The 12,963-nt window shown below is 37.8% G+C and overlaps 1 long non-coding RNA gene across 1 annotated transcript in view; it reads left to right on the top strand.

Moving 5' to 3' along the window:
* Positions 1-1,175: 1,175 nt before the first annotated feature.
* The window catches only part of LOC105371677 (uncharacterized), a 67,447-nt gene continuing 55,659 nt past the window's right edge, over positions 1,176-12,963 (top strand). The window contains exon 1 of the long non-coding RNA XR_922398.3: positions 1,176-1,435. This is a non-coding gene — a long non-coding RNA (uncharacterized LOC105371677). The remainder of the gene's footprint in view (positions 1,436-12,963) is intronic.

Genomic DNA, 12,963 nt, shown 5'->3' with positions numbered 1-12,963 from the left:
TGATCTCTGTAGGCCCTTTAACACTTATTTTTACATACTAAGTCAGACCAATTTTTCAAAAGCAGTATTTATTACTTTTAGTTTTTTCATTCACTACTGTAGTATTTGTCAATTTCTCAACAATCTCACGTTTATTCTAAACACTGTATTGTTAAGAGTATGTGCTGTTGCTGCCCCCAATATCCTAGATTCTGTGTAGTTTGCATATTTTTACATTCAAATATGGTTTCACATCTTTGCCTAACTGAATGAGTCATTTTCTAAGAACTCTCACACCTTCACAGATGGTAGAGCTGCCAGGTTTTACTTTATTTACATATGAAAAGGTTTTATGTATTTCAGAGCTAGCTCACTTATCTGTGAGAGCTTTCTCAGTCACAGAAAAAAAGTTGACTTTTTTGTACGTATACTTATACTAAAAGGCTTTTTCTGTTCCGATAGATCTTCACACAGAAATAGAATAGTGTTAGCATGTTTTTAATTGGTCTTTACCCTTGTTTTGATCCTTTGCACAATCAGAAACTACAAAATGAAAAATTATTCCATTGAGTTCTTACTCATTTCCATTGCACTTAAAAACAAAACCATGCAATTTACAGGCTTGCAAAGGAATGCAAGGATTTCGGTTTTTATTCTCGATGTTAGCACACAAATACACACAAAGTCAGGAATTGTCATCAATGCATCACAGCCATTACTTTCTAGATGGATAGAGCTAGTAGAAGAGAGTTGGCCAGAGTGTGCAGAAAGCTGCCACCTTTGAAATATCCCAGCTGAGGCCATTCTAGGTCTAGCCAACCCCCAACATGTCAGAGTCCAGCCTAAATCAGCACAGCCACATTACCTGCCACCGACCATGAATGCAGGCATGAGCAAAGAGGACATCGTATGAGCCACCCGGAAAACTCATAGACTCATGAGCAATAATAAACATTTTAAGCCACTGAGTTTTAGGGTGATGCGTTATGAAGCAATAGCTAACTGCTATACCGATTGAATATTGCCTTAAAAAGGAGAGGGTGACCAACTGTCTTGAATGCTGCTTAGTGTTCAAGTAAAATAGGACAGAGATGTGACTGTTAGATTTACATATGTGGAGGAGGAGTTTGAGGAGAGAAAGTGTGGTGAGAAAGCTAGAGATAGCAGTTATAGATAACTACAAAACTATAAAAATGATCAGAGAAATGGGGCTGCAGCTTGAGACAGATGTGTGTCAAGCACGTGTTTCTTGTCTGGACTAGGAAATGTTATCGCATATTCATATGCTGATTGAAATTCCTCTAGAGGAGAAAGAATCTCTATGACGAATAGAGAGGGGAACTATTGCAGAAGCAAAGTCCTTGAGAAGGCAGGAAGCCTAGAATTCAGATCCGAAGTAGAAGAATTGGCCTTCAACAGGAAGATGACCATGGGCATGGATTGACAAACATAGTAGGTAAGTAGATCTAGTGGTAGGAAGATGAGAAAGTTCCTATTTACCACTAATTTCAAACTAAATTCGAGGACAATGATCAGCTGAGAATGAGGAGTAATTTTAGGGGACTTATCAAACACGAGAAAGGGTAAAATGGTCATTTTAGAAAGTAAGAAGATTACTATGCTAGGAAAGTGTAATAGGATTATCAAGCAGCACTGTATGTCTAAATGAGGCTTATTGTCATAGTTTTAAAATGAGATTAAGTCAGTTGTGTGTTTTCCTCTGGTCATGGTGAGTTGCTCAACTGCAGGAAGAGAGTAGGCAGGTAGTCTGATTTCACCTCTAAATTCATCATCAAAGACTTGAGATTAGCTCCCTTGTCCTGTGTCTTTTAACTCTAAAGTTGAACTGAAATAATTCTTCTTGAAAGACTACTGTGTCCCTAAACTTAAAGAAAAGAAAATTATTGGAAATAAACCACTTAAAAGAAAGATAGAAATCTAAGCATAGAGCTCATTACAAAAATAATGATTCCATTTTATCAACTTGAAGAAATATAACTGTGATAACTGCATGCTTCTCCTATTTCCTGTTCTTCCATCTCAGCTCTCTTGGGACTGCCTAATATTGGCAATGCAAGGAGTTACTAGTGTAGTGAGTTTGCTTACTTCCAAGAGTCACCTGAAAAAGCTACTTATCAATGACATAAATGACTGGAGGACCTTATGTCCCGTGCAATGTTAACTATTCATTTACTCACTCACTTATTCAGCCATAATTATTGAATTATGTGATAACATACATTTGAGATTGGTAGTAGAAATACAGACATGGCTATTACCAAAAGTGACAAGTCCTGTATTCTTACTCCTACCACTTCCAGTGACCCAGCTCCTCAAGTCCAGTTTAAGATAAGGTACATTTTGAGTGAACTGGGGTTCTCTGTGCCATCTAATAAACTAAACTCCTGCAATAGGTATTGTGAACATAAAGAATATTTAATACTGTGTAGTTTAACACAGTAATTAAGATCACCATCCCTCAGACTAGACTATTTGGATTCATATATAAGTAGCAAATATAAGTGTCTATAATAATGGTAATTATTATTATAGTTGAAAAAAACTAAACCAAATAGGCTGACATAAAGACAAAATGAGTGTGGAAGGAGGTTACGAGGGAGAGAATGCCAGAAAAATCACTGTAACTTCTTTTGCAGACAGTTTAAATAGACCATTATGAAATTCCCTTATTTTTAAACTAGAGTAACTAAACTGTTTCTTCATGTTCAGTTAAGTAGAATCCAATGGAACAGAAGTTTCACTGAGCCTGTTTTATCATGCTAGCACTTCCACTGAAAAAGTATCTGTAACTGTTAACTTGTTATCATTTTTATTAATGTGTAATCAATTAATAAGAACATATGTGTTCCACAGACAAATCCCAAAGATATTTAAATAGAGATAACAGTGAATATGAGAGCCTTGCCAATATTCTGAAGACCTGTTTCCTAGTGGAATTCACAGTTTGTAGTCACAGTTCAGAAAGATGCTTTCCTAAGCAAAAATGTAAATATATCCAAACACTCCAAATAAAACCACAAGCACTGAATGTTATATACATTTACATCTACAAAGGAAGCAAGAAGCTTTTCATGGTGACAAACTAGAATCAGCAAGGTTTAATAGAGCTGTGATTTTGCTGATTGAAACTTGTATAGACCACTGCTCATGAAAAGACTTTCAAAATTGTGTGTGACCACACAGAAAGTAAAGAGGGACCAGCAGGCAGTGAATATAAACCAACACAACACCAGCCATGAAATGAGTAAATGTGTCTAGTAAAAATGAACAAACACCACTCCCATTAAGTCAAGTGAAGGGCTTGCTAATAATGGTGAGAAAGTTGAAACAACAGTGTTAGCAGCAGCATTCAAAAATAAAATAATAATATTAAGGCTGATTTTTACAATATGCTAATTCCCTTTGCCTGAAGTTTCCTTTCTTCCTTCTCTGCCTGACAAACCCTACTAGTTTTTTAAGGCAGGTGTGATGGTTAACTTGAGTGTCAACTTGACTGGATTGAGGAATCCAAGTATTGATCCTGGGTGTGTCTGTGAGGGTGTTGCCAAAAGAGATTAACATTTGAGTCAGTGGGCTGGGGAAGGCAGACCCACCCTTAATCTGGTGGGCACCATCTAATCAGCTGCCAGAAAATATGAAGCAGGCAGAAAAAACGTGAAAAGGACAGACGGGCCTATCCTGCCAGCCTACATCTTTCTCCCGTGCTGGATACTTCTTGCCCTGGAACATCGGACTCCACATTCTTCAGTTTTGGGACTCAAATTGGCTCTCCTTGCTCCTCAGCTTGCCGACAGCCTATTGTGGGAACTTGTGATCATGTAAGTTAATACTTAATAAACTCTCTCTATATATATATATAATGAGTATATATATACTATTAGTGTATATATCTATACTATGAGTATATATATACTATTAGTGTATATATCTATACTATGAGTATATATATACTATTAGTGTGTATATATATATATACTATCAGTGTATGTAAATATACTAATAGCTCTTGTGATCATGTAAGTTAATACTTAATAAACTCCCATATATATACAATATACTATTAGTATATATACATATATGAATAGTACTTGTGATCGTGTAAGTTAATAAACTTGTGATCGTGTAAGTTAATATTTAAACTCCAATATGTGTGTGTGTGTGTGTGTGTGTGTGTGTGTATACACACACAACTAGTTCTGTCCCTCTAAAAGAACCCTAACTAATATAGTGGGGTATAAGGGCTTGTCTAAGGGGTATAAGTGCTTGTGAAGTCATATCCAACTCCCTAGGAAACCTGGCCATTTCCTCCTGCGTGATTTTAGAGCCCTGTTGTAGCCCCTATCATGTTGCGTGGCTTTTAGTCATATTCATCACCCCTTTCTACTGTGATTTCCACAAAGGCAGAAGCTATCTCTTGCTCATCTTTTTCTCCAAGGCCTAACTCAATGCTGAGCACACTGTATTGGTTAATGATTAATTAACAAACTTAATGTTAACAGTAATCAATAGTTATTATAATATAAGACTAGCTTCCCATAAACATGCCAATAGAATCTCACAGAGTTAGAACTTAACACATTTCTTAGAATCTCCTGTTGGTTTGCCAAAAAGGCAAAAGAACCCAAAATATGAGGCTAGGGGTTCTCCTGTTGAATGATGGAGAAGGGGGTGTGTTTACAACCAGCCAGGAGAACATGCACAAAGGCTGAGAGGTGGAGAGAATATGATGCAGATGTGGGAAGTTAGAGGATTGCATTTAGGGAGAAGACTAAAATTGCTGTTGGAGAGGTTAGAAGAGTGACTTATGAAAAGCCCTTTATGTCATGCTAAGAAGTTTGTTACTTAATTGAAATGAGTGGGAAGCCATTGATCGACTTTACGCAGCAAATTGACATTAAGACAATTGTGCATGCAATGATCAGACACCATCCAGTGGAGAGAAAGAAGGACTAGACTGGAGAGAAGGGAATCTGTTAGGACCTATTTTAGTAACCCAAGTGGGCAATGAGTAGGTCTTTATCTACAGAAGGAATGGAGATAAGAGAGTAGAAGGAGGTAATAAAGTGGTGGAACTGACCTGACTGAGAACTGGCTGGATGTAAAAAGAAAAGAGAACCTCATAGAAGGCTGAAGAATATAAAATATGAATGAAAAATAGGAAAAAAAAGACTGTGGGCACTCTGAAGAAAGAGTCCTAGAGGACAAAGAGAGAACCAGAAGTCAGCTGTCTTGCAGAAGCAGGCTGAGCTTACATCTTGGTCTGCTCACACCAGCAGCCAGTCCAGTTTGTATCCGTTTCTTTGGTCCAACTATTATTAGTTCCATCTTTCATTTTACAGTTGTTATCCTCTGCAGAAACCAAAACTAAATTGACATGTCTTTAATTTAACATGAATGAAATCTTACCGAATTCAATCTTGTCTCTGCTTCTACCTGACACAATAAACACCTCTTCTTCCCACCAGAATTTTGACCATAGCTCCCAATTTCTGTTCAGTTGTCTCCATCTCAATCCTTTTATACCTTCTAGTCCAGGCCATTATCTCCTTCTCCTCATTCCCCACCCTTAAAATACAAAACAATACAGATAGCTTGGAGATCTGGAAGGGTTGGTAGGTGTATGAAATATTCTCATAGCTTCTATATATTGATCATCCCCCAGGATGTACAGCTGCCAACTCGCATACGTAGGTGGACTCTGTTTTGACCTGTAACAACCTGGAAGGAATCTTACACCATCATCAGCTTTCTCAAAAGAGCTTACCTCTTCAAGTGAATTATGGGCTTTATACTTTTTCTGAATATTGATGGGGTCAAAGCAATTATTCATACTGTAACATGCAGCATTTCACTTGAAAGTACCCTTTTGCAACAGCCTCTCCCCAGTCCCCCGAATCTCTTCGGCTGTTCCATCAAGCAGTCATTCTTTGCTACCCTCAATAACACAGAGACCGGCCACCTACTCTCTTTCCTCTTGGAGAATTATCTTCCTTTCCCTCTTTCCCTGCCTACTTCACACCCCAATATATGCCCTGTATCAGAAGGATAATTAAATGTAGCACCAGCTTCTATCTCCAAAACTAACATTTCCATATCCATCATTTTTCTCAGCAAACAAAGAATTATCCAGCTACCAGAATTCAACTTTTAATAAGGCAGTGGGGGATTTTAAATAACCAACTCCTAACTTTAAACTACTTAATACTACACAAGTTCTCAGGATAATCTACAAAACTCCCCTTCTGCTGAAGCTATTCTTAAATTCTAGGAAGGAATGGAAACACTGGGTTTTATATTTATCTTCTTAAAAATGTAGATTTAGGAACAACATCCATAGAGATTTTAACTGAGTAGATCTGGGGTGAGGCCTATGAACCTGCTTCCTTAATAAGCACCCTTGGTGATTCTGATGCAGGAATCCATGCTTTGAGAAATGATTGTTAAGACTCAATAATATAACATCATTTAAGTGAAGAATTTGAATTCCAACTCGAGATGCTAGAAACAGTCTCAACAAATCCAGCCCTACAGATATGGCAATAAGTTCTTCCCTTTCCCTGTATCAGGCCAGAACAATGGCAGCAGGATTTCTGTGCATCAGAGGTAGGAGGAAGAGAAGTGAATAGGCTAGAAACATTTCTAACTTAAGTAAAGAAGGTTCAGGTTTAAGAACATAGAACACTACAGAGGACCAGTAGAAAGGAAATAAATACCTTCAGTCTAAAAGTGGAAGGGGAAGTCAATCTCATATGGAAGATTTCTCTATATCGAGCAATTTTAGTTCATGGAAAATGTATACCAGGATTAATTTTTTACATCATAACACTAAGAGTTGTCATCTTAAAAAGAAGAATAAATTAAAGGAAAATTAGACAGCATATGATATCCGAGTAAATAATTAAAAAATCATAGATCAGATACAAATTTTTGTGAAAGTGGACTGAAAACAAAGACACGTTTTGTTGATTTTGTTTAAACTGAACAAGGATAATTCTCCTTAATATCTAGATACATGAGATCTAAATAAAGTGAGTAATGCTGGGAATGTACACTCTGGAGCTGGACTTTGCATTCAATTCTCAGATCCAACACCTAAAACAATCAGAACATAATCCTTTGGGTCTTTTATTTATAAAATAGGGCTAATGATGTGCTTTGTAAGACTGTTATGATGAGTTATTGCATTTAAGGTACTTAGATAGTGCCTGAACCATAAAATGCCCTTTAATTTGATAAATGATAGCTATTAATATTAAAAAGATGAGCATGTTTTGAATATCTTTATTTGACTAATGTAAGGAAAGGAGTGTAGCAAAATAAAAAGTAAGTTAAATGGGTAGAGATTACGGAATTAGAGGGAAAACCATAAATAATCTGAGCACCTACAGAATGTGGTAATAGCTATGGTAAGAAGCTTTTGGAAAAATTTTACTGTCTCCTTGGATACCACAAGGGCTCATTTCCCAAGGGCTTCTCAAGTCAGAAGTCCAATAGTTTCTCTGCTTAGCAGAAGTATGGAAAAGTGAGGCTGGGTGCGGTGGCTTACACCTGCAATCCCATCACTTTGGGAGGCCGAGGCGGGCAGATCATCTGAGGTCAGGAGTTCTAAACCAGCCTGGCCAACATGGGGAAATCCCATCTCTACTAAAATACAAAAATTAGCTGGGTATGGTTGTAGGTGCCTGTAATCCCAGCTACTCGGGAGGCTGAGACACGAGAATCACTTGAACCCAGGAGGCAGAGGTTGTGGCGAAACAAGATTGCATCACTGCACTCCAGCCTGGGCAACGGAGTGAGACTCCATCTCAAAAAACAAAAAAAAAAGTATGAAAATGTGTTGTTTATTTAATTTTTACATGAGCTGTGCATGCTAGTTGAATAAAGGGCTCCTTCAACAAGGATGGGACAAGAATGGTTTACAATTTGGAAAATTAGGAAGATGGGCTTTCCCTTAACTTTTCATTTTAATTAAATGTCATAGAAATTTTCAACAAAATGACAAGATGGAAAGGAAAGAGGAAAAAATGATGATAAAAACTGGAGATGTATAAAATCTGTGTTTGCCTATTCTTGTTCACCTCCTAGTGGGCCACCTCATTTTATACCAATTTGAATAGTTTTTATATGTACTGTCATATACATTATCTTTCTCTTTCCTGATCCTAGTCTTCAACAATCTTTTTTCTTATTTGTCAGTTTTTTATTTAATAAACTATAAGCTCCATGAGGACATGAACCATGTCAGGCTTCGTGAAATGTGAAGCAATATAATATAGCTTTGGTTATACTTGAAGCAGGATGACATAGAATTTGAAGGGTATCAGTTATAATGCTTTGGTTTGGTGGCATTAAATCCCATTCAAACTGGTTCAAATGATAAAAGGGACTTGTTGGCCCAATATAACTAAAATTTCCAGCAGTTGAACTCAGTTTAGATGAAGCTTGATCCAGTGATGACATCAAGACCTGGTTTCCAGTTACCAAGACCAGATTTACCATTTTTCTATTTCCATACAATCTCTAACTCTCTTTCTCCTTATAAAAATGGGGAAAATAGTATTTACTTTACAGATTTTTTGTGAAAGATAATTATACATGTAATACACTCAGCAAAGTGTCATACATTGTATGCAGCAAATAAAAATTAGCCCTTATGATTAGGTACCTAGTACCCCTCAGAACAGAGCCTAACATAGTATTTATTGTAAATATAGAAAATATTTATTGAATGAACAAATGACTAAGTTAATGAACAAATGCTTGTGCACACACATAATTTCACTTGCTTCACCAAATAGGTAGGAGAGAGAAAAGCCCAAAAGCAGTGAAACTAAATAAATATTTGGATAGGCTGCTTTTTATATACTTAGCCAGTGCACATAAGCACAGTTTCTAAACATTTTCCAGGTCACTGATTTCCCACAAAGACATGAGGGTCTAAATTAAGCTATAAAACTACCTTTCAGATATTTTAACGTAAAAAACATAGATGCATAAGGAGGTAGAGCAAGATGATCAAATAGAAGCCTCTGACCATCACCTCCCCTGCAGGAACACCAGACTGAATAACTATCCACACGAGAAAGCATCTTCATAATAACCAAAACTAAAATAAGCAATTACACTACCTGGTTTTAACATCATATCAAGTTAAGAGGCACTAAAGATGGTTGAAAACAGTCTTAAATTGCTGACACCAACCCCCTCACCATCCCTCCGGAGGGGCCACACAGTGCAGAGAGAGAATTTGTGTGCTTGGGGGAGAGAGAGCACAGTTATTGTGAAGCATTGCATTGGAACTCAGTGCTGCTCTGTCACAGCAGAAACCAATATGGGGCAGAATTCAGCCAGTGCTCATGGAGGGAGCATTTAAACCAACCCTAGCTGCAGGTGCATCACCCACCTCAGGGGTCAGAACCCAAGTTCTGACTAGCCCCAGCAATGCAGGCTAACACGCTCTTGAAACGTATCAAGGCCACAAGGACTGCAATTCCTGGGCAAGTCCTGGTGCTATGCTGGGCTCAGAGACAGTGGACTTGGAGTACACATGACCTAGTGAGACACCAGGTGGGGTGGCCAAGCAAGTGCTTGCATCACTCCTCCCCCAACCCCAGGCAGCACAGACCACAGCTCTGGGAGGCATTTCTTTCCTCTGCTTGAGGAGAGAAGGAAGTATAAAGAGGACTTTGCCTTATAACTTGGTACCATTTCAGCTACAGTAGAATAGAGCACCAGGCAGAGTCCTAAGGCTCCTCTTCCAGGCTCTAGCTCCTCACTGACATTTCTAGACATACCCTGGGTCAGAAGGGAACCCACTGCCTTGAAAAGAAGGACCAAGTCCTGGCAGGATTCATCACCTGCTGACTAAAGAGCCCTTGGACCATGAGTAAATATCAGTGGTACCCAGGCAGTTATCACCACAGGCCTTGGGTGAGACTCAGGATAATGCTGGATTCAGGTATGATCCAGTGCATCATTATCAGCTATGATAGCCAAAGGGAGAGATGCATTCTGTTTGAGGAAAGGAGAGGGAAGAGTAAAGGGGACTTTGCTCTGCAGCTTGGGCACCAGCACAGCCACGGGGTATAGAGCACCAGCCAGGCTCCTGGGATTCCCAATTCCAGGCTTGGGTCCTGGATGGCATTTCTGGACCTACCCTGGGCCAGATGGGAGTCCACTTCCCTGAAGGGGGAGACTCAGGCCTGGCAGCATTCACCAGAATGTCTGAAGAGCCCTTAGGCCTTAAGTGGACATCAGTGGTAGTCGAGTAGTAAGTGCCATAAACCTGTAGCAGTAGTGGCCATGGAGTGAGACTCTTTCTGCATGAGGAAAGGAGAGGGAAGAAGAGTGGGTAGGACTTGTCTTGCAGTTAGGGTGCCAGCTCAGCTGCAGTAGAACAGAGCACCAAGTAGATTCCTAATGTTCCCAACTCTAGGCACTGGATCCTGGACAACATTCCAGGACCTGCTCTGGGCCAGTCAGAGTTCATCATGCTGAAGGATAGGACACAAGCCTGGCAGGATTTATTACCTGCTGAATGAAGAGTGCTTGAGCCTTGAGTGAACCAAGGTGGTGCCCAACAAGGGGTCATTACAGGCCTTGGCCAAGACCCACTGCAGTGCTGGCTTTGGATATCACCTCATGCAATCCCAGTGTTGGTGGCCAATGGGGGTGTTTGTGTCACCTTTCCACTAGTTCCAGGCAGCTCAGCAGAGAGAGAATCTGTTTCATTGGCAGAAACTAAGGGAAGAGAACAAGGGTTTCTTCCTGGTAATCTAGGGACTTCTCCCAGATCTTAGCCAAGACAACCAAGGAAATACCTCTATGAGTTGACAAATATCACAGTGTTGCTGGGTATGGGATGCCCCAAATGTAGATATGGCTGCAATGACCAAAGATTTAGATCACAACATTCAATTCCCTTTGAATAATTAGAAATTTTTCCCAGGAAGAATGGATATAAAAAGCCCAGACTGCAAAGACAATAATGAATACCTAACTCTTCAATGCCCAGACATTAACAAATGTCCACAAGAATTAAGACCATCCAGTAACACATTACCTCATCAAACAAACCAAATAAGGTACCAGTGCCCAATCCTAGAGTGACAGATGTGTGACCTTTCATAAAAAGAATTCAAAATAGCTGCTTTGAGGAAGCTCAGCAAAATTCAAGATATCACAGAGAAGAAATTCAGAATCCCATCAGATAAATTTAACAGAGATTGAAATAATTTTTTAATAGTCATTATTATTCACCAAGCCTGGCATGGTTCATGTCCTCACAGAGCTTATAGTTTATTAAAAATAAAAACTGACAATTAAGAAAAAAGAAATTTTGCTAAAGACTAGGATCAGGAAAAAGCCGTATAATATATACGACAGCATATATAAAAATATTCAAATAATAACAGAGAACTTCCCAAACCTAGAGAAAGATATCAATATTCAAGTACAGGAGGTTTATAAAACACCAAGCAGATTTAATTCAAATAAGACTACCTCAAAGTAGTTAATAAGCAAACTCCCAAAGGTCAAGGACAAAGGAAGGATCTAAAAGCAGCAAGAGAAAATAAACAAGTAACATACAAAGGAGCTGAAATACATCTGGCAGCAGACTTCTCAGTGGAAACCTTCCAGGCCAGGAGAGAGTGGAATGACATATTTAAAATGCTAAAAGAAAAAAAAAAAAAAAAACTTTTATCCTAGGATAGTATATCCAGCAAAACTATCCCTCAAACATGAAGAAGAAATAAAGATTTCTCCAGAAAAACAAAAACTGAGGTATTTCATTAACACCAGACCTGTCCTACAAGAAATACTAAAGAGAGTTCTTCAGTCTGAAAGAAAAGGATGTTAACAAGCAATAAGAAATCATCTGAGGTACAAAAATCATAGGTACTAGTAAATATGCAGACAAACATAGAATATTATAACACTGTAACTAGAGTACAATCTACTCACACATTGAGTAGAAAGACTAAAAATGAGCATATCAAAAATAATAACTACAACAATTTGAAAACATAGACAGTATAACAAGATATAAACAGAAACAACAAAAAGTTAAAAAGTGGGGGAGAGGAAATTAAAGTGTAGAGATTTTATTAATTTTATTTTTGTTTGTTCATTAGTGTGTTTTTGCAATCAGTTTTGTCATTAATTTAAAATAATGCACTGTAAGATGTTACTTACCTCAAATGATCTGTCCACCTTGGCTTCCCAAAGTGCTGAAATTACAGGCGTGAGCCACCATGCCCGGCCTGACCAACATGGTGAAACCACACCTCTACTAAAAATAAAAAATTAGCCAGGCGTGGTGGTACTTACCTGAAATGCCAGCACTTTGGGAGGCTGAAGCGGGTGCATCATTTGAGGTAAGTAACATCTTATAACCCATTATTTTAAATTAATGACAAAACTATATATCTAGATAGATAGATAGATAGATAATCATTAACACCAGATCTGTCCTACAAGAAATTCTAAGGAGAGTTCTTCAGTCTGAAAGAAAAGGATGTTAACAAGCAATAAGAAATCATTTGAGGTAGAAAACTCATAGGTATTAGTAAATACACACACATACACACACACACATATATCATTATATAATATATAATGGGATATATATATCATTATATGATATATAACGGGATATATATATCATTATATGATATATAACGGGATATATATATATCATTATATGATATATAACGGGATATATATATCATTATATGATATATAACGGGATATATATATATCATTATATGATATATAACGGGATATATATATATATCATTATATGATATATAACGGGATATATATATATCTATATATATATATATATATATATATTTATATATATATATATATCTCCTATCAGTTCTGTCCCTCTTGGGAGCCCTGACTAATACAATGATGATACTGCAAAAAGCAATCTACAGATTCAATGCAATTCTCATC

This window comes from Homo sapiens, chromosome 1 (genome assembly GCF_000001405.40).
Source record: "Homo sapiens chromosome 1, GRCh38.p14 Primary Assembly".
Classification (NCBI taxonomy): Eukaryota; Metazoa; Chordata; class Mammalia; order Primates; family Hominidae; genus Homo; species Homo sapiens.
This window is presented reverse-complemented; position numbering and strand designations above follow the sequence as displayed.